The following is a 27593-nucleotide window of genomic DNA, read 5'->3' on the forward strand; positions in this document are numbered from 1 at the left end:
TGAGCCACTGCACCCAGCCAGCAACTGTCCTCTCAGGCAGTCTTGCTCTTGCATAGACGCACATATTAGTTCAGCTCACCTCCCATTTGCCTCTTTTGGTTGCTTCAGCAAACTCTCCTATTTTCCCAATGGAAATGTATAAATAACCAGTTGAACTGAAGGATCCAAAATAATAATTTGAGGCTACTCTTGAAGCCCATTCATAAGCAGTCCTTAGAGGAAAAAAAAAGGGGAGTTCAAGTTTGAAGGAAAAAAATACAAATTGGGAACCTCATGGTTTGAAATTTGAAACAAACAAAAACATTTATTGCTCTTAGGTTGGTTGGTCCTACAAATCTTGATCAATGTTTAATGCAATCTAAAAGCAAAACAAAAAGTAAATATTCCTTAATACAATTAGAACTGTGAAAAGGCACAAGCCAAAGAAATAAACTTTAGGTAACTTCTATGTGACTACATGAATGAAACTTTTTGGGAGTTTCAGATGATTTCAAATGATACTCAAATTGAATATAACCATAAATTATGTTCTCAAAGTAGTTATTGTTCCATCCTTTCTTCTACTTCTCTTACTATGCATTCTCATCCTTCTTGTAGGCTCCTCTTCCTGTGGCCATCCCTTCAATGTTAGAATTGCTAATGGTTCCTCCCTGAGCCCCCAGGCCTTCACACACTGCACTCTCTCCTAGGTACCTTACTCAATCCCCTTGCTTCATTCAGCACATATGCCCATGACTGCTGAATTTATATCTCCGGCCTGGGCCCCTTCCTAACATCAACTGTTCTTGGCTGTTTTCACCTGCATATCTCAGAGCCACCTGAGAGTCAACATCTCTGCAACTGAAGCCATCATTTTTTAAAAACCTGCTTCCTCTTATGTTCATCAACTCATCAAATGTTAACACTCTTAACTCAGTAGCCCAAGGAAGACATTTAGGCTTCATCCTGACCCTGCCCCGCACTGATCCTGTAAGCCAATCTTAAATCCACTCAGTTCCCTCCATCTCTGCTGTCTAACCCTAGTCATCTTACATCTGGATCAGTGCAATAACTTCCTAAGTGGTCTCCCTTTTTCCACTCCTGCTCCACACCAATCCTCTCTCCACCTTATAAAAACACAGATTGAATCTTTAAGTCCTTTCAATAACTCCTACTGCACTTAAGTCCAAAATCCCTAAGGCAACATACAAGACCCAGTGTGCTCTGCCTTTATCCACCTCTCCAGCTTAAAATCACACCATTTTCCTAGCTCCATGGACGTTAGCCATTAATACTGGATGACTTCAGTCCCTTGAAAGCATTTTGCTGTCTCTTTCCTCTGGGCTCATCTCAGGCTAATTCCTTGAACTTCACCTCCTGAGGAAGACTTGTCCAGCCCAGGTCAGGTCTCTCCCTACTCTGTCCCTCAAAGAAGCTTCCCCATTGGCCCACGGCCCCCAAGGGCAGAAGCCCAATCCATTTTGTTCATTGGCATTTTCTAGCTCCCTGCATAGTGCCAAATCATAGCTGACCTTTAATAAAACTTTAAACAATTAGCACTGAGTCTGTGCAGCTCCATTTTCTGAACAGCTCTTGAAAACAACATTTACTTCAGGCCATCGACATCTTGTCCCCTAGATTACTACCTCCTAAGCCATCTCCTGACACCTACTTCTCCATTTTCTTCCCCACACTGTTACCAGATGGTCTTTGCAAAATGTAGCTCTCATCATATGAGTCTCCACTGCCTTCAGGATAAAATCTAAGCCTCTGAACAGAAATGACAAGTGCTTTCATGGTCTGGCCCCTGCTTTCTCCCTGGCCTCAGCTCTCACCCCTCCCTGCCTCACTCCCTCTACACGCTCTCCTATCTGGGTCTTCACACCTTCCATGCTCTCTGCCTGGAGCACTATCCTCAGCCTCCCATGCCACCAGTGAGTAGCAAATCATTAGCTTCCTTCCCTGACTGAGGTTCCTCAACTGTGCTGGCTGTCCCCCCTTGTCCGTGTACACCAATTAAAGTGACCAAAATGTACCCTTCTTCCAGGACAGTCCTGGCTTACATCTGCTGATCCGGCTCTCATTCTCAAAAGCATACTGGTTTGGACAATAAATTATGTGGTCCCACTAACCATGACTATTAAATGTTCATCTAATTGTCTGTTTCTCCCCTGACAATAAACTCCATAAGGTCAAAGCCATCTGCCTTATTCACCACAGCATCAGGCACAGTGCCTGGCATATGGAAGATGTGGCATGTTTCTTAAATAAACAAATGTACTTACATACTGGAGAAGCATGCATTCTCATTAAGGCATTAATTTGGTTCCAGGGTTTGCTACTGAGAACAAAAATCGTGCCCCCCACACCAAATTTAAAGATTATATATTTCACAAAATGATTTTAAAACATATTTTGAAGAGGTTTTGAAGTCACAGATACGGAGATATAGATAAGCCAGTGACACACTTCACAAAAGGGCAGAATGCCAATTAGGAATATAATCCGCAACCAGGGAACTGATTTTCTTTCTCTGAAGCAAAAGGCCTATTTGCCAACCAATCCTGGCCTAGCCTCATTTTCCCTAGGCTTTACCTAAGTAAAAAAAATCAAAAACAAAAACAAAAACGAGTTTTTTCACAAAACACACTGATACTGACATCAGAAAACATTGGTTCATCAAGTTCTTCCACTCTGCTCAAGTTAGGTGCTCCATAACGATCGCTGATTTCAGCTAGTGTTTTGCCTGAGTCTAGTGTTGCTTCCTACAATCAAAAAATTGATTTTTACTTTTAAATGATTTCAAAATTAATACATTACTTTTCTTTCAATTTTGATTAAAAATTTTCTGATTTATAACATTAAAATTCAACATTATTAATTAGTGGAATTAACCAATTTCTGTTAATGACAAGAGAATTCTGGTAATGAATTGAGTATCCTAGAATGCAAAGCTACAATTCTGGTAATAAATACTAGAACTTTTTTTAAAAATACCTGCAGAAATTTAAAATAATTGTAAGTAATTATGTGGTAAATAGCTTCAATATCTCAAGAGAGCCTAGTTTTTAAAAATCCAAACACAAACTGAATGTCCAATTTTTACCTATTGTGAGATTTTGCTTCAAAGCACATTATTTGTGACTTGTTATCACCGGAAAATATACATGGACTATCAGTTTTGATAATATACTTGCTAAAAATTTAGCTACTTATGCATCAAAATTAAGCTTTACATTCTAGGATACTCAATTCATTTCACATAACATAGAATGACTTTTTCTTCTCACCTCTGAATGTAGAATATCTTCATTCCTAACTAGATTTTCCATATTCATTCTCATCTCCTATAATATATAAAAATTAAGAAAATACTTTGAATATACTCCATTTTGATTTCATGTTTAATTTTTGGCATTTTTACTTTTACACAATGCTATGATGAATTTAAAGCAAAAATGCTGTCACTCTGAAAGAGAATGATCTGATTACACATTACAAAACTGCAGATCACAGTCTTATTTAATACTCTATACTAATAGAAGGCAACCATGTTTTATATATAATTAAATAAAAGTTTTTTAAAAATGAAATGGACTGAAACAGTCAAACTGAAGCCAAATTATCTGCCAATATAAAAAGTGACAAAATAAAAATTATAATAGAACCTTAGAACAAGAGATTTTTAAGGAGAAAACCACACTTAAGTAGAGTTTTGCACATACCGAGAAAGAAGTAAACACTTCTACAGGAACTAATCTGGCCCAATGCACAAGTCCTCCCACAGGACCTGAGCAATGCCCTCTTTAATACTCTGAGCACTGCAGTAGGAATATACTGCCCAATAAGGGAGGCCTCTTTCTGAATGTGAAACATTCTTCTAGTCAGCCAAACCTTGCTATGCCATCTACCTTTTCATTCTAAAGCAGCAGGGTGGCCTAACTGACCCTGAGCTGATTCGTTTTGGCTGCTAGAAGACCAGTGATTTCTTGATCATACATATGGTCACCCTAATGATAGGGACATAAACAGCACTGTTTTCCCAAGACCACTCCATTTTCCTGGTAACTTCTTATCCAGCATCCACAAGGCTATATGGGGAACATCCATATTCTTATAGGACTATGCTCCCCTGCCACAGAGATGGATATTTGACACAAACTAAGCCAGTCAGAATCCTTCTCCAAGATTCTTTTCTTAACTGAAACTAAAACAAGGCATCCATTCCTCTTAGATGGTAGAAGCCACAACATTCTAAGCCTCAGAAGCCGTTAAGGCCCATGTTCCCTACCCATGTGCAGCAAAGCAGCCCATAGTGAAAGAGCGAAACTAATAACCAGGGAGCAGCAGAGGGGAGAGCCCTGGTAGCATCTGATTCTCTTGCTCCCAAAGTCTGAAAGGCCCAGTGATACCAGAGTCCTTCACAGTTTATGTGTTAAACCCTTCCTTCAACCCAGAATCCTTCTAGCAAACTTCCCTTTGCACATGATAGTTTACATTGCGAGTCTGCAGCCATAAGAAGGCCAAGGGAAAGCACATGAGTGGACTCATCTCTGAGCAATGGGCGAGGGAGTGGTACTTTGCAGGGGACTACCTATGCTATGGTGAGGGATGATAAGCCTATAGAAATAGGAATTACTAAAGTTATTCTGGCAGTGGTCACACAAGCTGATGATGTCTGGAGATAGTAAAATAACATGAGTGTGGCTCTCTGGAGCCATAAAATAGAGACCAATCCTTCCTATGGACTTTGAAGCACTTTAATGTAGCTATCAGGTCACTTTGATTAAAAATACTTTAAATTCCTTTATTTTGATCACTGCCTTCTTGATATGTTCCTGTATTTTCTCTTTCAGTTTAGATCCGTGAATCTTTTTCAAAATTTCTTTAATTTTTAATTTTTACTGATATAAATAGCTGTACATATTTACGATGTACATGTGATATTTTGATACAAGCATACAATATGTAATGATCAAATCAGGATATTTGAGATATCCATCACCTTAAACATTATTTCTTTGTGAATCTTAAAGAGAAAGGGGCTGCTTGTGTATGTGTGCATACAGGCATATCCCTGTGCTCACACTACACTCAGACTAAGACCGCATCAGCATCTGTATTTTTTAAAACTATGTATAGGGCTTTTATCCTTTTAAAAAAAATCTCACTTTTTGATTTAATTCACCATTCACACTTTTTAAATATTGCTTTAATAAATGATTCTCTCATCTAAGCATCAATAAACATAATGAACATTGTCTATAAAACCTGCTTCTTTTTTCAGCTTTAATTATGGAATAAAAAGGGGGAGAAACATTTGATTAAGAGATAGTAGCTATAAACTCAGTCATCTAGAATATTGGTCTATATGACTCATAGCTTTTGGATGCAGGAAATATGGGTCAAACTAGAGACCTGACATGATTGTATCATGTCAGCTTGGACAACATGGCAAAACCCCATCTCTACTAAAAATACAAAAAATTAGCCAAGCATGGTTGTGCGTGCCTGTAATCCCAGCTACTCGGGAGGCTGAGGCTCGAGAATTGCTTGAACCCGGGAGGTGGAGGTTGCAGTGAGCCGAGATCACGCCACTGCACTCCAGCCTGGGTGACAGAGTGAGACTCTGTCTCAAAAAAAAAAAAAAAAAAAAAAGAAAGAAAGAAAAAAGTTACTGCATAGTTTATTTTAATGAAAGTCCATGTATGAACATATTTTAAAATGTAAATTCTTGTTGTTAATACATTAACATAAAGACATATACTACTGCCTCCGAGATTGGAATACCCTCAATATTCAACATCAGCTACTGTAACTAGGAACAGCTAACTCCTGACTAAAATGTTGAGGGTATCACTATTAGAGAACCCTACTGCTCACAGAGAAGTTTCACAAACATGATTGTATTTGATTGTATAAGAATCCAGTGAGACGGCCAGGGGCGCTGGCTCATGCCTGTAATCCCAGCACTTTGGGAGGCCAAGGTGGGTGGATCACCTGAGGTCAGGAGTTCGAGACCAACCTGACCAACATGGAGAAACCCTGTCTCTACCAAAAATACAAAATCAGCCGGGCGTGGTGGTGCGTGCCTGTAATTCCAGCTACTCGGGAGGCTGAGGCAGGAGAATCACTTGAACCTGGGAGGCCGAGGTTGCAGTGAACCGAGATTGTGCCATTGCACTTCAGCCTGGGCAACAAGAATGAGACTCCGTCTCAAAAAAAAAAAAAAAAAAAGGAACCAGTGAGACATTGCTAATAGTATTATACTGCTAGCTCTAGTTTTGAAACAGGTAAACTGAGACTGAAAAAGGTTATGAGACTTGTTTAGCTTACACAGCTAGTATGTGGCATGTCTTCAGACTACAAATCCCATGGTCCTTCTGCTAACAGCTGAAATAAACAGTTTGAAGATTCTAGAGAGTTTTAAATAAAACTGACATTTATAAAACTTCAAATTACCTTGCCTAATTGTTCTTGAGCTCTCTGTAGTTCTTGTATTCTCTGCCTCTCCTTTTCTTGCATTTCCAACTCTAGCTGCAATGCCAGCTGTTGCTGAATATTCAGAAATATGTCATATTACAGTTAGATTAATTGCAAGATAATTAAGTTTATACCCACCTTCATTTCAGAAACTTACAATACATGGTCACATCCAACTAATACTTTAGTTTCTACAAATGCTTCCTGAAGCATAAAATTTTTAAAAAAGATTTTAATCTTCCTTAATTGCAAATTATAGAAAGCACAATTTGTACAAAATTATTTTCCCTTTTCTTCTTAAAGTAACAAATGAGATTGCAACAATTTTCCAGATAAATTTCTTTAAGCATAGATGGGTCTTCAAATAGCCACACACTGGTTGTGGAAGAGTGGGTGAGAAACTCTTCAGAATATCATCTGATGGCTCATGCCTGTAATCCCAGCACTTTGAGAAGCCAAGGTAGGCAGATCATCTGAGGTCAGGAGTTTGAGACCAGACTGGCCAACATGGTGAAACCCTGTCTCTACTAAAAATACAAAAATTAGCTGGGCAGGGTGGCACATGCCTGTAATCTCAGCTACTCGGGAGGCTGAGGCAGGAGAATCGCTTGAACCTGGGAGGTGGAGGTTGCAGTGAGCCGAGATTGTGCCATTGCATTCCAGCCTAGGCAACAGAGTAAGACTCCCTCTCAAAAAAAAAAAAAAAAAAGAAAAGAAGAAAAAAGAATATCATCTGAAATCATTACTAACCAACAATATATTTGCTCCCAACTCAGCATATCTGTCACACTAGAATAGGGTTCAGCAATAAAGCCTGTGGGCCAAAGCCAACCCACCTCCTGTTTTTTATAGCTTACAAAGAAAGAATGGCTTTTACATTTTTAAATAGAAAAAATTTAAAAGAAATAATATTTCATGACATAGGAAAACGGTATGAAATGTAAATTTCAGCATCCTTAAAGCTTTATTGAAACACAGCCATGCTAATTTGTTTACGTATTGTCTACGAGCGCTTTTGTGCTGCCATAGCAGAGTGTAGTAGTTATAACAGAGACCACATGTGGTGCACTCACCACTTTGCCTGGCTGCCCAGCACACTACAAACCGCAGTAACATCATTGTAACAGCAGTGTTTGGAGTGCCATGGTATCACTATACTGTGACATTTAAAAAAATTATATCCATTATGTCAAAACAAGAAAGCCAGGGATGGGTGGCTTATTCCTGTAATCCCAGCTACTCAGGAGCGAGGCAGGAGGATTACTTGAAGCCAGGAGTTCAAGACCAGCCTGGGCAGCATAGCGAGACCCCCATCTCTAAACAAAATTTTGAGAAAAAAAAAAGAAAAATAGTGAATTTTGAATGTCGCACTTTTAAGGCACACTAGAGTGTGTATTATTTTGTCATCAAATTAAATGGCAAAACATGTTTCTTGCTATACAGTGCCACTGTACCAAAAGAATATAATAAATATCAACATTACCAGACTAAGCACTCATCACAATAGTCCCAGCTCACAGAGCACAAAGGCCAAAAAAAATTAGAAAATGTAAAACAGAATTGGCTGGGCATGGTGGCTCACACCTGTAATACCAGCACTTGGAAGGCCTGAGGACAGGAGTTCAAGACCAGCCTGGCCAACATGGTGAAACCCTGTCTCTACTAAAAATACCAAAAAAAATTACGCGTGGTAGCAGGTGCCTGTAGTCTCAGCCACTTGGGAGGCTGAGGCAAGAGAATTGCTTGAATCTGGGAGGTAGAGGTTGCAGTGAGCTGAGATCGCACCACTGCACTCCAGCCTGGGTGACAGAGCGAGACTCTGTCTTAAAAAAATAAAAATAACAAAAACAGAATTATCACAGCAGAATTTATTTACAAAAATTAAAAATGAAAATAAGTCTGCAACAAAAGTAGGGTTCCAAGAGGCTCATTTGTTATGAAAGCAAGGAAAGATATTTACCAATGATGAGTGAATTAAAACATGTTTTATTTCAGTGGCCAAAAAAAATGTGTCCAGGAAAAAACAAACTTGTCTAAGATTTTAGCCTTTTGGTGAGAGCAGCTGCTCAGAGTTGACACTGGGAGCAACATCAGTAGTCAACTAATAACAAGGCACATGATTCTGAGTGGCTTTCCTTGGCTCCTGATAAGCAGACAGATGTTCCCAACACTGCTCAGTTGTTGTTTATGGAAAGGGTCAATGCTGAGTTTGAAGTGACTGAAAAACCAAACCTCTATGAATAGTCTTTGATATGGTTTGGCTATGTCCCCATTCAATTCTCAACTTGAATTGTATCTCCCAGAATTCCCAAGTGTTGTGGGAGGGACCCAGAAGGAGTTAACTGAATCATGGGAGCTGGTCTTCCCTGTGCTATTCTCACGATAGTGAATAAGTCTCACGAGATCTGATGGGTTTATCAGGGGTTTCCACTTTTGCTTCTTCCTCATTTTCTCTTGCTGCCACCATGTAAGAAGTGCCTTTCGCCTCCCACCATGATTCTGAGACCTCCCCAGCAATGTGGAACTGTAAGTCCAATTAAACCTCTTTTTCTTCCCAGTGTTGGGTATGTCTTTATCAGCTGCTTGAAAATGGACTAATACAGTCTTCATGGAACAATTACAGACAAGAGCATTTTCAAAGTCGTGTAGAAACACTGATTCAATACAACCTGCAGTGAAATCTGCTAAGATGTGTCATAGCTGACAGTGATAAAAATACATGTGGAATAGAAAAAGGCTGAGCTGAACAAATTTACAAAGCTCATGAGAAAATAGTGTTTAAAGCCGGGAAGTGTTCATCATATTACTCAACAGCAGCTACTCTGTGAAAGTATTTGAATCTATTATGTGTTATTGATCCAGCAGTGTCAACAGTGACCTTCATTCACTCTTGTAAACTGGACCATCAATTCTGTGAATTTTTGTCAGAAACAGAAGCTGAATATATCCTGATGTCCTACCACACAGCAGTTCCATGGCTTAACAGTTATATTATGAATTTTTGAGCTCAGGGTCAAGATTTAACTTTTTATTGTGTAAATTGAAGATGCATATAATGTTTTGATATATATAGTGAATGCTTACCACAGGTAAGCAATTTCAATATCCATCATCTTAGACAGTTACTTTTGTATGGTAAGAGCACCTAAAATCTACTCTCTTAAAAATTTTCCAGTACACAATACAATCTTATTGGCTATCATCCTCATGCTGTACTTTAGATCTCTACATTTATTCATACTACACAATTGCAATTTTGTACATTTTGACCTACATCTCCTCATTCTTCTTCCAGGCCTACCCCCACTCCACCTCTTGGTAACCACTGTTCTATTCTCTCTTTTTATGTATTCAACATTTTTTTTTTAAGATTTCTACATAGACAGCATGTGGTATTTTTCTTTTGATGTCTGGTTTATTTCACTTAACATCATGTCCTTCAGTTTCATCCATGTCATCACAAATGGCAGGACCTACTTCTTTCTTAAAGCTGAATAATATTCTTTTATATATACATATATGTGATACATATATGTGAGATATATATATACAAGATATACATGAGAAATACATCTTACGTTTTTTCAAGACAGGGTCTTGCTCTGTCACCCAGGTGGGAGTGCAGTGGCACTGCCTCAACCTCCAGGGCTCAATTAATCCTCCCACCTCAGCTTCCTGAGTAGCTGGGACCACAGGTGCATGCCATCATCATCATGCCTGGATAATTTATACATTTTTTCTAGAGATGAGGTCTCCCTATGTTGCCCAAGCTGGTCTCGAACTCTGGACCTCAAGTGATCCTCAGGCCTCGGCCTCCCAAAGTACTGGGATTACAGGTGTGAGCCACTGTGATCAGCTCACAATTTCTTTATCCAGTCATCCACTGACAGACATTTATGTTGTTTCCAAATCTTGGCTATTGTAAATAATGCTGCAATGGACATGGGAGTGCAAGTAGTCTCTATAAGGTGCTGGTTTCATTTCCTTTGAATATATACTGAGAAGAGGAATTACTGGGTCATATGGTAGCTTTTAATTTTTTGAAATACACCCATACCATTTTGCATAATGGCTGCGCCAATTTGTATTCCCATCAACAGTGTAGAAGAGTTCACTTTTCTCCACACCCTCACCAATGTGTGTCTCTTCCCTTTCTTTTTTTTTTTTTTTTTTTTTTTTTTTCTTTTTTGAGACGGAGTCTCACTCTGTCACCCAGGCTGGAGTGCAGTGGCGCGATCTCAGCTCACTGCAAGCTCTACCTCCTGGGTTCACACCATTCTCCTGTCTCAGCCTCCTGAGTAGCTGGGACTACAGGCGCCCGCCACCACGCCCGGCTAATTTTTTGTATTTTTAGTAGAGACGGGGTTTCACCATGTTAGCTAGGATGGTCTCAATCTCCTGACTTTGTGATCTGCCCGCCTCAGCCTCCCGAAGTGCTGGGATTACAGGTGTGAGCCACTGCCCCCGGCCATGTCTCTTCCCTTTCTGATAACAGCCATCTTAGGCTGGTCACGGTGGCTCATGCCTGTAATCCTAACACTTTGGGAGGCCGAGGTGGGTGGATCACCTGAGGTCAGGAGTTCAAGACCAGCCTGGCCAACATGGCGAAACCCCGTCTCTACTAAAAATACAAAAAAAAAATTAGCCAGGTGTGGTGGCGGGTGCCTGTAATCCCAGCTACTCAGGAGGCTGAGGCAGGAGAATCGCTTGAACCCAGGGAGCAGAGGTTGGAGTGAGCTAAGATCACGCCACTTCACTCCAGCCTGGGTGAAAGAGCGAGACTCTGTGTCCGAAAAAGAAAAAAAAAAAGCAGCCATCCTAATAGGGGCGAGGTGGTATCTCATAGTGGTTTTGATTTGCACTTCCCTGATGACTAGCGGTGTTGAACATTACTTGTCACTTTTGATAATATACCTGTTGGCCACTTTTATATCTTCCTTGGAGAAATGTCTATTTAGGTCCTTTGCCCATTTTTTAATTGGGATCCTTTTTTTTTTTTTTTTTTTTTTTTTTTTTGCTATTGAGTTTGCATTCCTTATATATTTTGGAGATTAACTCCTTATCAGACCTTATCAGATATATGGTTCACAAATATCTTCTCCCAATCCATAGGCTGCCTTTTTGTTTTGCTGATTGTTTGCTGTGCAAGAGCATTTTAGTTTGACCTAGTCCCATTTGTTTAGGTTTGCTTTTATTGCCTGTGCTTTTGGTGTCATACCCAAAAAATTATTGCCAAGACCAATGTCAAGGAGCTTTTTCTACATTATGTTTTCTTCCGGGAGTTTTACAGTTTCAGGTCTTCCATTTAGGTCTTTAATCTATTTTGAACTGATTTTTGTGTATGGTGGAAGACAAGGATCCAGTTTCATTCTTTTGCATGTGGATATCCAGTTGTCCCAACACCGTTCATTGAAGAGACTATCCTTTTCCCTTTGTGTTTTCTTGCAGGGCTTGTCAAAAATTAGTTGACCGTATATACTTGGGCTTATTCCTGGGTTCTCTATTCTGTTCCACTGGTCTATGTGTCTGTTTTTATGCCAATACCATACTGTTGTAATTACTATGGCTTTGTAATATAATTCTGGATCAAGTAATTTGATAGTTCCAACTTCGTTTTTCTTTCTTAGGATTGCTTTGGCTATTCAGGGTCTTTTGTACTTCCATACAAATTTTAGAATTGGGTTTTTCTGTTTCTGTGAAGAATGCCATTGGAATTTTGATAGGGATTGAGATGAATCTGCAGATTACTTTAGGTAGTATAGACATTTTAACAATACTAACTCTTCTGATATATGAACACAAGATATCTTTCCATTTATTTGTGTCTTCCTCAATTTTTTGCATTAGTGTTTTACAGTTTTCAAGGTATAGATGTTTCACCTCCTTGGTTACATTTATTCCTACGTATATTATTCTTTTTGAAGCTATTATAAATAAGATTGTTTTCTTGGTTTCTTTTTCGAGTAAGTTATTGGTAAACAGGATTTAAATTTTTCTTAATGAGAAGAAATACTCCCAACCACTATTATCAAACATTAAATGGCTTTGGAAATTAGCTTTGGCTGCAGACTTGATAATGTTTCTTAATTCATTTTAAAATTACATGGCAAAACATCACTCATATGTAAAACTTACACTGCAGTAAACTCACTTCAACAACAGCTCATGTTGTTTGAATCACAAGTAACGTAAAGCTGCTTTATACACGTCCAGTGCTGTCAAAACTAGAACAGGATATTAGATCTCCGTTCCCAAACAAATTGTCAGTGGATGTATTTTCCAACCTCGAACTACAATTCCAGAGTGTTTGTAAGGCCTCAACGTAAGTGCAAAGGAAATTTCCATATTCTGAAATCCATTTAACTATGCAATTAAGAAGCTTCCATCAACCTTCAGTTGGAAGTGGCTATTCTACAAAGTAATGCATGCTAAAAGGCAAACAGCAAGAGAAAAACAAAATTCTAGAAATACCTTCTAAGGAATGAATATGCTTAATTTAAATTATACACACATAGACTGATAGCAACTTTTGACAGTAACTATGTAAAAAGACATTTTCAAGGATGAAATGCATAAAACCTCATTACAGATCAGCATTAGCAGATAAACTTTTTTTTTTTGAGGCGGAGTCTCGCTCTGTCGCCCAGGCTGGACTGCAGTGGCGCGATCTCGGCTCACTGCAAGCTCCGCCTCCTGGGTTCGCGCCATTCTTCCCCCTCAGTCTCCTGAGTAGCTGGGACTACAGGAGCCCACCACCACGCCCGGCTAATTTTTTGTATTTTTAGTAGAGACGGGGTTTCACCGCGTTCGCCAGGATGGTCTCGATCTCCTGACCCTGTGATCCGCCCGCCTCGGCCTCCCAAAGTGCTGGGATTACAGGCGTGAGCCACCGCGCCCGGCCCGCAGATAAATATTTTAAAATAGATTTTGATGATAGACCACACTAACGCTGAACTTCAACCAAGTGAAATGTTATCTTTTAAAAACTTTTTTAAATTCTCAATAGTAAACCTATCTAATAAAAAATTTATATTCAGTGATTATTATTTGAATTTCATCAATAAAACATTTGCAAAAATTCATTTTCTCTCTTGTTATTCCTACATAATATGCCATAATGCCTTCATAATATCATCAAATTTGCCTCTTGGCCTGTAAAGCATAAAATGTCTACTATCTGACAATGCATTCTAAAATAATAAATTTTTACAAGTAAAGATATAATAAAGTGCTTGATATTTTATTTGCAAAAGCTTTTAAAGGTAATTTCTTAGTATTCCTATATTATCACTACTAAGATAAAAGTGATGGGGTAGGTAGCTGAAACGCAGAAACAGTTTCAATCAACTTTCAGACATTGGTAGAGGAAGTTAAATAACTCCAATCTCTCAACAATAATGCAAAGTGTATTTGTTAAATAACAGTCAGATTGATCAAAACAACCAGCTTCTTGACATTTTCAAGAAACTTCCAAAACCTAATCCCCTTCCTCACACATGAGCAAAACCACTGAAAGCCATTCAAAACAAATAAACAAAAAAGCTCTTACTTCAAAACTAAGCTCTTACATAGAAAATGGCAATAAAAATACTTCCCTGTTCACAAAAAACTAGGCTTGTGGAGAGTGCCTAAAATATCAAGGAATTTCAAGTCAGTGGTACTGACTATGAGGACAACTGCTTTTGCAACCAGCAAGGAAATAACCAGAGTTCCCAACCTCCAGCTTACATGACTCAGAAGGCACCCAGAGGCCTCTCTGTTTTTCTTCATCTCAGCCACACTCTCTCAAGCCTTTCTCTGTTGATCGATCTCTCCTATCTATTTCTGCACACCAATCCACTCCGCTAACTGGCCATAACATCTCCTGTATAATATTATTTTCTCTTCCGCCCTACTACAATACTTAGGATTCAATGCACAGTGGATTAGTTCATACCGGTCAACATAATATGGCTAGAGAAACTTGTTATTGCTAGTATTGCCAAATTATGCATAAGTAGGATAAAGTAGTCGAGCCGAAGAGAGTTATGTATCTCCCACTTACGATGTAATTGCCTAGGGGAAGGAGAACCTCTGGGAATTCTCTTATTTTTGATAGACAGGAACAGATACCAGCTATAGGAGCTGTAAGAGGAAGGATGGCTCCTCATCCACAGTTGTGGCTGCTGCAGGAAGCACCTGGCCTGTTTGGATGACAGTTGACACCCAACTCAACACTTTTTAACCTCCCTTCAAGAATAAGCCAATGACTGAAAATGAAGACTCAGAAGGAGTAGAGTTTTCAACAGCCCTATCCTTCTAAGGGGCCTGCAGTTTTCTACCTCAATATCAGGGATAGGAGGTTAGTCAGAGAAGCTATTTGCCAGGTCTATATTTTTCTTTCTATCCACATACTCAAATAATAGGCTTCTTTCCCCTTTTTAAATATGTAAATTTGAGTCAAGACTCTGGGGTTAAGTATTATCTGGTAGAACTATGGAAGTGGCTTAAATTTAGCTTAGAAGCTCTCTATAAATTAAATCAGTCCAGAAGCCATTCTGGAACTTTCCTCTCTCCAGCTTGTACTCCATGACCCATCCCTTCAACAATTCCCTTACCAATATCTTCAGCTCCCTAATCATGCTACCCCAATCCTGCTTCAATTAAAAGGTCTGCCTGCTCCACTTCTTCACTCAGACATCTGGGCCCAAGTGAAGAGAATCACATCATCACATAACCAAATCAAATGGCACGATTATCAGTACTTGATCTTCAACTGCTACCAAGTAATGCTAAATTATATCCCTCAACTCTCTCTTCCATTCTCCAAAGCTGTCATTTCTAACTTCACCACTCTGCCCACACCTCCTACCTTACAACCTTGTTCTTAGCAAGTGAACATGGTGCCTACTTCATAAAGAAGACAGAAACAGTTGTACGCAGAAGGTGCTTCCACCAACACCATTCTCTCCTCTTTCCCTTGATTATAATCAAAGAAGTGCCTTCTCCCTGCCCAACCTATGATCCAGGCCCATTTCCTCTCATCTCCATGGTGAGCTGACCCTACGAATCATCCACTCTATTTCCTAATGTCACCCACTCACTCCTCCACTACTGTGCTCTTAAATCAAAACAAACACAAAAACATCTCTCCTTGCTATCAAAATCTCCTTGAAAGCATTGCCTACATTTTCCACCTCCCCTGCCTAAGTCCACCCACCCCCACCACTCCATCCACACTGTTCCCGCCAAATTACGGTGGCCTCTCATGAACACTTTTCCATTCAGCAATAGATATGGTTGACCACTCAGATCTCACCAAAACAGTCTTTCCCTTTGCCTTCTGTGACAGCACACTCTGTATTTTCCTCTTACCTGGAGGTATGGCATCTTTTGTATCAGCAACAACAGTGTGGAAAGGAATGTGTATATGTGTATACAAGAATGCACTCAGGAAAACTCATGGCTGCTGCTTCTCCAGCAAAGAAGACACACACATCCATAAAGATGAAGATATTAGGAAGCCATATCTAAATAACTGGAGCTGGGAAGTTTATCAACATTTAGGCTGTGCCATGCTGAGGTTGGCATCGTTAATTCCAGTCCCCTCTGAACTCTCCTACTTGCCTCACCTGCTGAAGTAAGAGCTCCTCTGCTTTGAGCCTCTCCATCATTTCCTGCTCCATCAGAGCTAATTCTCTTTCACGCTCCAGCTTGGCCATTTCCTTTTGTCTCTAGCATTGTTTAAAAACAACAGCACACGACTTCTTAGCGAGAAAGCAATTTGTAAAAGCAATCTTGAAAGCACTTAATAGGAACAATTAGGGAAAGTGTTAAGCAAATTATAGCCCATCCCTGTGGAAATGATATAATAATTTGGGAAGATATTTTATCTGAATAATGAGCACAATATTAAAGTTATACATTGTGTATGATCACAAGTACATAAACGTAAATCTATAAATCTATAGAAAAAAGACTTCCCATGAAAGGAATTACCTAAAAATCTAAATAGAAGTCTTCTTTGGGTAATGTTTTCTCCTTCCTGCTTTTCATGTTGTTCAAGTTTTTGTATAATAAACATTATTTTTATAACAGAAAAATAATAATGTTAAACTTTTTTAAAAGCAGACAAGTTGGACCAGTTTTTTTTCTTCTAATTTCCTAGAAGGAGATTCCTACTTACCAGTTGTTCCATGGTCACATTTTCCTTATACTTGTAAATCCACAATGCTAAATATTCTATCGGATCCACTGGGCGAACTCTTGCCACTTCTGCAAGACCTTGAGTTAAACAGGCCCCAAGGTGCTTTTGAAGATATATTGACTCCATTTCTAACTCCTAAAAAGTAAGTGTTTTTGCATTACTGCAGGATATTTTCAATAAAGTCACTATAAAACTAAAGTCCAGTGAGGTGAACAAAGCCTTACATACACCCTGCCCTCAGTCATGGACACCTCCCATTGGGGGTGTCACAAGCAAGCTGGCCCCAGGAAACTTCTAATAGTTTCCAAAAGGGCTCCAAGGAAGTCACTACAACTAACATGGTTTCAAAATCCTGAAGGACTCTCAAGTCCAAGAGTCAGAAAAGAGATATTATCATTATTGATTCCAAGTTTACTTGATGCCAAGTAATGTGGGTCTCATGTAATCCTCACAACATACCTGAAAAATGGGTATCATCATCCCAGTGGGAAGATGAGCAAGCCCAGGCACAGACAGCGTAAGTGCACAGTTCAGGATCACACAGCTGGCAGATGAAGGAGACAGGGTTTGTACCCACCTCTTGATTCCAAAACCCTAACCCTAAAGACTACACTAAAATGTTCCTCCTAAGCCATGAGAGCCGTTTTTACAAAGCATCACAATAGTCCACCTTTTGAAAAAAAAAAATCCATAAATTTCCAAGGCCAAAGAATAAAAACTCAGCCTCCAAATAATAACATATGAAGCTCCTCACAATCTGGCCCCAATTTTCTTTTCAAGTTCACCTCCAGACATCATCTCTCCTGGCCCCAGCACACCCTGGGCTCTAATTCCATGGACATGTCTGGCTAATTTTTTTTGTATTTTTAGTAGAGACAGGGTTTCACTGTGTTAGCTAGGATGGTCTCGATCTCCTGACCTCGTGATCCGCCCACCTCGGCCTCCCAAAGTGCTGGGATTACAGGCGTGAGCCACCGCGCCTGGCCGACCAGATTGTTTTTAAAACAGAAAAGGAAAAATGGAGCAACCAATCTCTTTCAGATGCTTTGGAAAAATTGATCACCCTCAGATTACCCTTAATATTTTAAGAAATCGGCTGGGCACAGTGGCTCACGCCTGTAATCACAGCACTTTGGGAGGCCGAGGCGGGCGGATCACAAGGTCAGGAGATCGAGACCATCCTGGCTAACGGATCTCCTTCATCTGCCAGCTGTGTGATCCTGAACTGTGCACTTACTCTGTCTGTGCCTGGGCTTGCTCATCTTCCCACTGGGATGATGATACCCATTTTTCAGGTATGTTGTGAGGATTACATGAGACCCACATTACTTGGCATCAAGTAAACTTGAAATCAATAATGATAATATCTCTTTTCTGACTCTTGGACTTGAGAGTCCTTCAGGATTTTGAAACCATGTTAGTTGTAGTGACTTCCTTGGAGCCCTTTTGGAAACTATGTGAAACCCAGTCTCTACTGAAAATACAAACAAATTAGCTGGGCGTGGTGGCGGGCGCCTGTAGTCCCAGCTACTTGGGAGGCTGAGGCAGGAGAATGGGGTGAACCTGGGAGGCGGAGCTTGCAGTGAGCCAAGATCGTGCCACTGCACTCCAGCCTGGGCGACAGAGTGAGACTCTGTCTCATATATAAAAAAAAATATATATATATATATTTTTTCCTGAGAATCTGATGAAATGTAATCAATTGTTAAACAAATGTATAATGAATATTTGCCGGGCACAGTGGCTCACACCTGTAATCCTAGCACTTTGGGAGGCTGAGGTGGGTGGATCACCTGAGGTCAGGAGTTCGAGACCAGCCTGGCCACAATAGTGAAATGCTGTCTCTACTAAAAATACAAAATTATCTGGGCGTGGTGGCACATACCTGTAATCCCAGCTACTTGGAAGGCTGAGGCAGGAGAATCACTTGAACCCGGGAGGCAGAGGTTGCAGTGAGCTGAGATTGTGCCATTGCACTCCAGCCTGGGCAACAAGAGTGAAACTTCGTCTCAAAAAAAAAAAAAAAAAAAAGAATACCTATTATAGGTCAGGCACCATGATAGGTACTGGGAATACAAAACTATTGTGAATTGAATATCTGTGTCCCCCAAAAATCCATATGTTGAAATCCTAACTCCCAATGTGATGGTATTAGGAGCCTTTGGGAAGTGATTAGATCATTAGTGTGGAGCCGTCATGCATGGGATTAATGCCCTTATAAAAAGAGATGGGAGAGCGTGCTCTCACTCTCTGCCATCTGAGAATAAAACTAGAAGACAGCCACCTGCACACCAGCCAGAGGGTCCTCACCAGACACCAGAAATGCCAATGCCTTGATTTTAGACTTCCCAGCCTCCAGAATGGTGAGAAATAAATGTGTATTGTTTTTAAGCCACCCAGTGTTGGTAATTTGCTACAGCAGCGCAAACTAAAACAAAAACAGTCTCTGCCTTCATGGAGCTTATAGATGAGAAAGGAAGATAAATATTTAAATCAATAAATATGAAATTGCAGTTAAAATAAGTACTATGAGACCAGACAAGAGGAGTAGCTGATCAAGTCAGGAAAGTAAAAAAAAAGCTTCTTTGGGGGTGACATTTGAGCTAAGCTTACATTTACTGAAAAAAAAAAACAGTAAAATTAACACGACAAAGAAGAGAAGAGTCTTCTAGGTATGAGGAAAGGCCCTGATATAGGAATGAGCATGGCAATTACAGGGGATAGAATGCCACTGTGTCTAAACTTGTCCCTGGACAAATGCATCTAGCATTTTGCATAAAATTTCAGAGACAGTGACATCCTGGGGTCCGTCCATAACCCCCAATTTTTATTCTATGGATGAACCCCAGGATGTCAGTGTCTCTGAAATTTTATGCCATAACTATGTGCATATGCCATATGACAGTGGTGGGAGGGCAAAATGGTATAACTCCTATGGAGGAGAATTTGACAACATCTAGAAAATCACATATGCATTCACCCTTTGACTCATCAATCTTGCTTCTTGGATCCTATCTCAAAGATATAGTTGCAAAAATATGAAATGGCATATGCACACAGTTATTTGCAGCATTATTTACAATAGTCACACTGAAGCACCATCTAAATGTTCATCAAATTGGGGATTAATAAGAGCAACACAATGGATTATTATGCAGATGTACAAGAGAATGAAGAAACTAGAGAGTGATCTCTAAGACACAGAATAAAGAAAACGAGGTGCTGAAATTGTATATGGTCTGTCATCTTTTGTATTAGCAACAGCAGTGGGGAAAGGAATGTGTATGTGTGTATATGTAAACATAGTCATAAAAACTCTAAAAACGGAAAACAAACTGGCACAAATGAACCTAATTCCAAATGAGGTTGATATTGGTGTCTCAACCATACAGAGAAAAGAATTATTACAACTGACTTTGGAACACAGTATCTTCACTGTATTTCTTCAGTAGGATATACCTGAAAGACCAAAACGCTACACAGACATCTCAAAGTCATTTGAAGTGAAGTTAAAAAAAAAAAAAAAAAAAGGTGCACAGACTCCTGTTGCTGCTCCAGAAGGATAAAATGTGGGAAGGGAGGAAGGGGACCATTATCCCTAAAGAGAAAACTTCTGGCCTACCAGCGGGGCCAGGTCAGGGGAGGCTCTGTCTCGGATTTCTGGGCATATCAGTGGGACCCAGGCAAGGCCTGCCAACTCCCTTAGCATGTTCCTGTCTGTGAAACGAGGATAATACCCATCTCTCCTGTGGTAAGCAATGTTATTTTTCACATACACCAATAGGCATCTTGGCTCAACATAAGAAAGCCCTTTCCCACAGAAACAGCTGCCTCCAGCGTGAAGAAGGTGCCACAGAGATGGAAGGAGATTCCTTACCCACACCTGGGAGACAGCTAGCCAGCCAGCCAGCCAACTGGGCGGGGGCACCCGGGCAGGGGTGCCAGATACAGTATTGTATCTGGCAACCTCCCGGGGCGCTCAGTGTGGTTTTCCCACCCGGGAGTCTGGAAGGGTCTCCCGCAGCCCGCAGGAGACGCAGCGCTCCCCGCTCAGGGGGAGCAGGAGGACAGCTGGCCGCTTTCGGGAGCCCCAGGCGCGAAGCGGCCTCTCTCCGCCTCAGGTGAGTCCTGCTCGACGCCCAAGGCCCAACGGTCAGAACCGCCTCTGCCCGCCGGACCCAGCGAAGCTAGGGGAACAAATCCCAAAAACAGTTCGGGCCTTTCCGGTGCGCTCACCCCTACACACGCGCCTGCTCGCCACCCAGGAGCGGCGTCCCGTTGCCAGGCAACGAGAGCTCGCGCCTCAGGAGCCAGTGTAGGCGCCGCAAAGCGGAAGGGGCGCGCGGATAGGTGAGCAGAGGGCACGCGGTGGGCAGCGAAGGGGGAACGCGCAGCAGAGAGGAGAGGGCGTGCAGGAGTAGGAGCAGGCGGCAGAGTAGAGGGGGCGCGGCAGAGTAGAGGGGGCGCGGCAGAGTGGAGGGGGCGTGCAGGAGTAGGAGCCCGCCGCAGAGTAGAGGGGGCGCGGCAGAGAGGAGGGGGCGTGCAGGCGCGGGGCGCCCGGCAGAGAGAAGGGGTCGTGCGGAAGGGGGCGCGCGCCAGGGGAGGGGGCCAGAGAGGAGGGGGCGTTCAGGAGTCGGGCCTGCGGCAGAGATGAGGCGGTGTGCAGGAGGGAGAGCGCGCACGAGGGGGCAACGGGCAGAGAGGAGAGGGAATGAAAGAAGGGGAGCGTGGCAGAGAGAAGCGGGCGCGCTCCAGGGGGCGGGGTCCAGGGAGGAGGGGGAGCGTAGGATCGGGGCGGGAGGCAGAGAGGAGCGGGCACGCGGGACGGGCGTGTGCTCGTGAGGGGTCGAGGAAAGGCGTATGTGGAGGCGCGCGGGGTGGGTGAGCCGAGGAGACTTGCTACACAGAAACCTGGAGGAGTAGGGGCACACAAAAGAGCAAGGGACCCTGACTGGCAGCCCGGCATGCTCTGGGAGAGACAAAGAGGTGGCGGGCTTTGAGGAGGAACCAGGAAGGGCAGCCAATCGGAAAAGGGTGGAAGACCTTCCAGAGTCCCTGGAAGACCGTCACTGCAAGCTGCTAATAGCTTGGCAGTTTCACAACTCTGCACCTTTGCTCTTGCTGGTGACCTCTGCTTGGTTCCTTTCAGAACCAATTCGGGTGCCCCACCACCGGGAAGCCGTCCAGTCTCCACCAGGCCCAAACCCTTGCAGTCTTCCCTGGCCTAGTCGTCTGTGCATGTGCTAGCCTTTCCTGTGCTCTCTTTCAGCTTATGGGCGGGGCAGTGCCAGGCAAGAGAGGCCTTAATAGATGTTAGTTGAGCTAGTAAATGCCAGATTGGGCGTGGAAAAATCAAAGGGAAGCATGAGGGCAGGTGGCAGAACTCTCTCAATGAATAAGTCAAGAAATATTTACAGAGCTCCCAGTGTGCCAAGCGTGGGCGGTATACAGTAAACAAAGACAACCCCTATTCTTATCACCTTGCCTACTGAGTGCAAGTCCAGGAACTGTGTAAGCAGACCCTCAGAGGAGCTCTGGGAAACACTGAAAAATAGCCTCTCCCCCCATTGGTGAGTGTACCCTAAGTTGGTCTGAGTGGGCTTTAAAAGGCATCCCCTTGGCCAGGCGCGGTGGCTCACCGCCTGTAATCCTAGCACTTTGGGAGGCGGAGGTGGGCGGATCACCTGAGGTGAGGAATTCAAAACCAGCCTGGCCAACATGGAGAAACCCCATCTCTACTAAAAATACAAAAATTAGCCAGGTGTGGTGGCGCACACCTGTAATCCCAGCTCCTCAGGAGGCTGAGACAGCGGAATTGCTTGAACCAAGGAGGCAGAGATTGCAGTAAGACGAGATTGTGCCACTGCACTCCAGCCTGGGCGACAGACCAAGGCTCTCTCTTAAAAATAAAAAATAAAAGGCATCCCCTTGACTCCTTCCCCTCCAGCCCTCAGATTATGGCTCTATGCTGGCTCTACTGTCTTTGTACCATATTTTAGCGACTGTTGGGCAAACACATTTCCTTCAGATCATTGTTGAAAATGGGCAATTTAGAGTAGGGGGAGGTATGCCAATACGGCTTGCCACATGTAACCAGTGTGGCAGCCACCCCCTGACTAGAGAATGCAGAGTTGGTGATTCTGCCTTCGGGGAAGGACAGTTCTACAGTGATCCAGGCAAAGTAGATTGGTAACTACAGGTCGCTTGGAGATTTTATTAACATGCAGGTTCTGAATCTGTGGTGGGACCTGAGATTCTGCATCTCAACAAGTCCCAATGTGTCCAGAATTGGTGGGTTCTTGGTCTCACTGAGTTCTAGAATGAAGCCGTGGACCCTCACAGTGAGTATTACAGTTCTTAAAGGCGGCGTGTCCAGAGTTCGTTCCTTTTGATGTTCGGATGTGTTCAGAGTTTCTTCCTTCTGGTGGGTTGCTGGTCTCCCTTCAGAAGTGAAGCTGCAGACCTTTGCAGTGAGTGTTACAGCTCATAAAGGCAGTGCAGACCCAAACAATGAGCAGCAGCAAGATTTACTACAAAGAGCAAAAGAACAAAGCTTCCAGTGTGGAAGGGAACCCAGAGCAGGTTGCAGCTGCTGGCTCAGGCAGCCTGCTTTTATTCCCTTATCCGGCCCTACCCACATCCTGCTGATTGGTTCATTTTACAGAGAGCTGATTGCTCTGTTTTACAGAGAGCTGATTGGTCCATTTTGACAGGGTGCTGATTGGTGTGTTTACAATCCTTGAGCTAGACACAAAAGTTCTCCAAGTCCCCACTAGATTAGCTAGACACAGAGCACTGATTGGTGCATTTACAAACCTTGAGCTAGACACGGGGTGCTGATTGGTACATTTACAAACCTTGAGCTAGACACAGAATGCTGATTGGTGTATTTACAATCCCTTAGCTAGACATAAAGATTCTCCAAGTCTCCACTAGACTCAGGAGCCCAAATGGCTTCACCTAGTGGATCCCGCATCAGGGCTGCAGGCGGAGCTGCCTGCCAGTCCCACGTAGTGTGCCCGCACTCCTCAGCCCTTGGGCGGTCGATGGGACCGGGCACCGCGGAGCAGTGGGTGGCGCTCATCAGGGAGGCTCCGACAGCACAGGAGCCCACGGTGCGGGGGAGGCTCGGGCATGGCGGGCTGCATGTCCGGAGCCCCGTGGGGAGGCAGTAGAGGCCCGGCAAGAATTCGAGCAAAGTGCTGGCAGGCCGGCACTGCTGGGGGACCCAGCACACCCTCTGCAGCTGCTGGCCCAGTGCTAAGCTCCTCACTGCCTGGGGCCTGCAGTGCTGGCCGGCTGATCCGAGTGCGGGGCCCACCAAGCCCGCGCCCACCCGGAACTTGCGCTGGCCTGCGAGTGCCACACGCGGCCCCATTTCCCGCCCGCGCCTCTCCCTCCACACCTCCCTGCAAGCAGAGCCGGCTCCGGCCTTGGCCAGCCCAGAGGGGCTCCCACAGTGCAGCGGCGGGCTGAAGGGCTCCTCAAGCATGGCCAGAGTGGGCACCAAGGCCGAGGAGGTGCCAAGAGCAAGAGAGGGCTGCCAGCACGCTGTCACCTCTCACCCAGGTGATGGAATGCTGCTGGTCATCTGTCGTCAGACTAGCTTTGAGTAAGAGGGGTGTAGAAGTTTGTTTATCCAAATGCATTGGTTCAAGTGGGCCACACAGATTGGCAGGAGACACCACCCACCTCTGTCCCCACCCTCCATCACTACCCCACTCAATTTTTTTTTAATTCCCTTACAGGTCTTGGGGTCAGAAGTCCAAAATGAATCTTATAGAGCTAAAACCAAAGTGTCAGCAGGGCAGGTTCCTCAGGAGGCTCTGGGGAGAATCCATTTTCTTGTCTTTTCCAGCTTCTAGAGGATACCCTTGGCTCAAGGCCCTGAATCACATCGCTTTTTCTCCCTTGGCTCTGTCATCACCTTCCCTGTCTGACCGTACTGTGTCCCTCTTATAGTGACACCTGTGATTACATTGTTCCTACTCAGATAATCCAGGATAATCCCCCTATCTCAAGATCCTTAATTTAATCACAGTTACAAAGTCTCTTTTGCCATTTAAGGTGACATATTCATAGTTTCCAGGTATTCAGACATAGACACATTTGGGAGCCATTATTCAGCCCTAGAACAAGGACATTCTCTTACTCATATTTCCATTATTCAAAATTAAGAAATTTAACTTGGATAAATTATGTCACATAATCTACATTTCACATTCAGTTCAACCAATTTTCCCAACAATGCCCTTTATAGAATTCTTTCTTCTTCTTTTCTTTCTTTCTTTTTTTTTTTTTTTAGACAGGGTCTCGCTCTGTCACCCAGGTTGGAGTGCAGTGGTGAGATCTCAACGCATTGCAGCCACAACCTCCTGGGCTCAAGTGATCCTCCCACCTCAGCCCTGCCCCCAACCCCTCCAAGTAGCTGGGACTGCAGGTGTGTGCCATCACACCTGGCTAATTTTTGTATTTTTTGTGGAGACAGGGTTTTGCCTTGTTGCCCAGGCTGGTATCAAACCCCTGAGCTCAAGTGATCCTCCTGCCTCAGCCTCCCAAAGTGCTGGATTTATAGGCGTGCACCACCATGCCCAGCTGAATTATTTTTTCTTGTCCAGGCCCAATCTAGGATCATGTGTTACATGTAGTTATTATGGCTGTTCAATCTCCTTTGATCTATAACAGTTACTCTTTTTTTTTTCATACCCTCAACATTTTTAAGAGTACAGGGTAGTTGCTTTGGATTTATTTGATGTTTCTTCAATTACATTCAAATATTGCATTTTAGGCAGGAATCCACGGAAATGTTTTATGTACCATAAGAAGTGCATCACATCAGGAGGCAGTTGATGTCACTTTGTTCCTTTGTTGGTGATGTTTACTTTGATTACTTGGTTAAGGTTTTGTTGGCCAGGTTTTGCCACTGTAAAATTTCTGTATTTCCTTTGGAATTAATACTTAATTTGTGAGAAGAAACTTTGAGACTATGCATATATCTTATTCCTTGTCAAATGATCACCCAGGTTTAGCACTCATTGACTCATTGATGATCCTGCTTTGATTCAGTTATACTATGGTGGTGAGGAAATGGCAGTTTTTTAAAACTCCATTATTTTCCCCACATTTATTAGTTGGCATTCTACTTTAACAAAGAACTTTGCCTTCTCCCTTCTTAATCTACTTATATATTCTCATATGGACTCATGGATTCTTATTTTATTCTGTAAGTTATAATCCATTACAGTCACTATTTTAATGGTCAAACTGCCCCAGATTTGACTAGTAGGAGCCCCTTCAAGCTGGCTTCTCTGTCCCCAACGATTGTATTTTTTAGAATTTTCTTACTTTCTGGCACAACAAAATGTTCCAGGCTCGTTAGGCTTGTCCTGCCCCAGCCTTGGAATCAGCCATTTCTCCAAGGAGCCCTGATTCCTCTTAAGTGATGAAGGCTATTTACAAGCAAGGTTTATATGCTTAGCGTGCTCATTGCTACTGAAGTGTTTTGGTTTCAAGGCCCTTGCAGTGGAGAGAGCTAGGAAATATTTTTTCCTATGTCCATAAGATAGATATGTATAAGATAGATATGGATATCTGTCTACTTGTTTTTCCTTCCTTAAGCTAAAATATGAGAAGTAGGGGGACAAATTGAAAAATGCCTCCAGAAAATGTTAAGGCTAGATCTGAGCTTTTATTATTTGCTGGGCTCTTTTGGAATTAAAATGTGTCAACTTCAGGAATATGGACTCCGTCAGGAGGAGGCCAGGTCCTAGGTTGTTTCATGGCACAATCCTCCACTGAATATAACAGCAAGTAAGTGTTTGTTGGTTCTTTTGGGAAAGGTGTGATCCAGAAGCATCTCATATTTATCCTGAAATAAATCTGAATTGGTTAGAATGTGTCTATTTTTAATATCAGATTAAGTTTGTAAAATAGTGTGACTTTGTTTTGATGTTTTCCAGGCTGCCAGGATGGAAACTAACTACCTGAAGAGGTGCTTTGGAAATTGCCTGGCCCAGGCACTGGCAGAGGTGGCGAAGGTTCGGCCCAGTGACCCAATAGAATACCTGGCTCACTGGCTTTATCATTACAGGAAAACAGCAAAAGCAAAAGAAGAGGTGTGTATGTGCACTGGGACTTAGGGAGGGCCCAGCTTTCCCAGAGTAATTTGAAAGCCAAGACACAAGGCAGGATTCTGGAGCTGGCCTGGGGAATTTCTTGGTTTATTTGACTTGCTCTTAGAGCCAGATATCCCTGAAGCATGGGGATCCTGGGGGCTAACTCAGAGGAGTGGAGCTTCAACTCAGACGAGCTGTGGAGTTGAAGGGTTTGTAACTACTAGCAGGCTAAAGCTAGTTACAAGAGGAAACTCAACAGGCCCAAAGAGCCCACAGCCCATATCAGTCCCCAGTGAGGGGGCCCCGTTTATAAGGCTTCCCTGGTTGCTGACCTGATTTGACTCTGTCACCTCACCCCAGAATAGGGAAAAGAAGATCCACCTGCAGGAGGAATATGACAGTAGCCTCAAGGAAATGGAAATGACAGAAATGCTGAAACAGGAAGAGTATCAGATTCAACAGAACTGTGAAAAGTGTCACAAGGTAGGGAGAAGGACTCAGCTTTGGGTTGCCACACACATCCCAGTGATGGACTCCAGGAAAGCCACAAGTCAGCCCAGTCCCAATCCAAGGCACATTAAGGGTCCCTTTAGCTTGATTTTCAATATATGTGCAAGTATTCACATATTTGCATATAAACCAATGTTATTGACAATCTTTGTTAATGAAAAAAGGAGATGTTAAAAGACAAATTTGTCTTAGATTTTAGGAAATACTCTGGTGTTACTGGTTTTAAAAAAAATCTGTTTTTTTTTTTTTTTTTTTTTTTTTTGAGATGGAGTCTCGCTCTGTTGCCCAGGCTGGAGCACAGTGGAGCGATCTCGTCTCAC

At 42.6% G+C, this 27593-nt stretch overlaps 2 protein-coding genes across 19 annotated transcripts in view, besides 2 other annotated features; one reads left to right on the top strand and one right to left on the bottom strand.

The window, feature by feature from the left end:
- Positions 1–185: 185 nt before the first annotated feature.
- Positions 186–20928, bottom strand: DYDC1 (DPY30 domain containing 1). 11 transcript variants are annotated; one of them, NM_001370156.1, is made up of 8 exons: positions 20885–20928; positions 18534–18631; positions 16628–16783; positions 16074–16175; positions 6442–6534; positions 3270–3326; positions 2640–2744; positions 275–358 (listed from the first exon to the last, which is right to left on the bottom strand). In NM_001370156.1, exons 3-8 carry the CDS (start codon positions 16772–16774, stop codon positions 329–331), a joined length of 534 nt encoding a protein of 177 aa, NP_001357085.1. In that variant the 5' UTR covers positions 16775–16783; positions 18534–18631; positions 20885–20928; the 3' UTR covers positions 275–328. The 11 variants fall into 11 exon arrangements, with proteins under 11 accessions (XP_016871238.1, NP_001357085.1, XP_011537637.1 ...); XM_011539335.2 differs by having other exon boundaries at positions 20526–20928; XM_047424655.1 differs by having other exon boundaries at positions 18534–18656; positions 20526–20928.
- The window catches only part of DYDC2 (DPY30 domain containing 2), a 23329-nt gene continuing 4653 nt past the window's right edge, over positions 8918–27593 (top strand). The window contains exons 1-5 of one of the 8 annotated variants that reach the window (NR_070308.2): positions 8918–8988; positions 16610–16790; positions 20433–20769; positions 26608–26763; positions 27124–27246. Coding sequence is in view for 6 of the 8 variants with exons in the window: in NM_001270042.2 (NP_001256971.1) it covers positions 8956–8988; positions 26608–26763; positions 27124–27246 (312 nt within the window). In the remaining 2 variants the exon portion in view is untranslated. Of the gene's footprint in view, positions 8989–16609; positions 16791–20432; positions 20770–20953; positions 20999–22065; positions 22219–23041; positions 23073–23098; positions 23119–26607; positions 26764–27123; positions 27247–27593 lie in introns of those variants that run through there. The other 7 variants (NR_070309.2, NM_032372.6, NM_001270042.2 and 4 more) reach the window with 7 other exon arrangements.
- Positions 12612–12812: a silencer, noted in NCBI's record as "peak1026 fragment used in MPRA reporter construct". NCBI's record gives its function as "represses an SCP1 promoter by STARR-seq MPRAs in K562 erythroleukemia cells {active_cell/tissue: K562}" and the evidence as "EXISTENCE:reporter gene assay evidence [ECO:0000049][PMID:32103011]".
- Positions 27449–27593: part of a silencer, noted in NCBI's record as "fragment chr10:82123032-82123216 (GRCh37/hg19 assembly coordinates)", that runs on past the window's edge. NCBI's record gives its function as "represses an EF-1alpha promoter that drives an FKBP-Casp9 reporter gene in an ReSE screen in K562 erythroleukemia cells {active_cell/tissue: K562}" and the evidence as "EXISTENCE:reporter gene assay evidence [ECO:0000049][PMID:32094911]".

This window comes from Homo sapiens, chromosome 10, assembly GCF_000001405.40.
Source record: "Homo sapiens chromosome 10, GRCh38.p14 Primary Assembly".
NCBI classification, from domain to species: domain Eukaryota; kingdom Metazoa; phylum Chordata; class Mammalia; order Primates; family Hominidae; genus Homo; species Homo sapiens.

Excerpts from the sequence above, each read along its gene's own strand:
- DYDC1 (XM_005269549.5), bottom strand. The coding sequence starts at position 16,774 with ATGGAGTCAATATATCTTCAAAAGCACCTTGGGGCCTGTTTAACTCAA. Across the intron at positions 6,535-16,073 it reads AGGAGCTCTTACTTCAGCAG|CAACAGCTGGCATTGCAGCT; the intron begins GTGAGGCAAGTA and ends CTGAATATTCAG. Across the intron at positions 3,327-6,441 it reads CTCAAGAACAATTAGGCAAG|GAGATGAGAATGAATATGGA; the intron begins GTAATTTGAAGT and ends TATATATTATAG.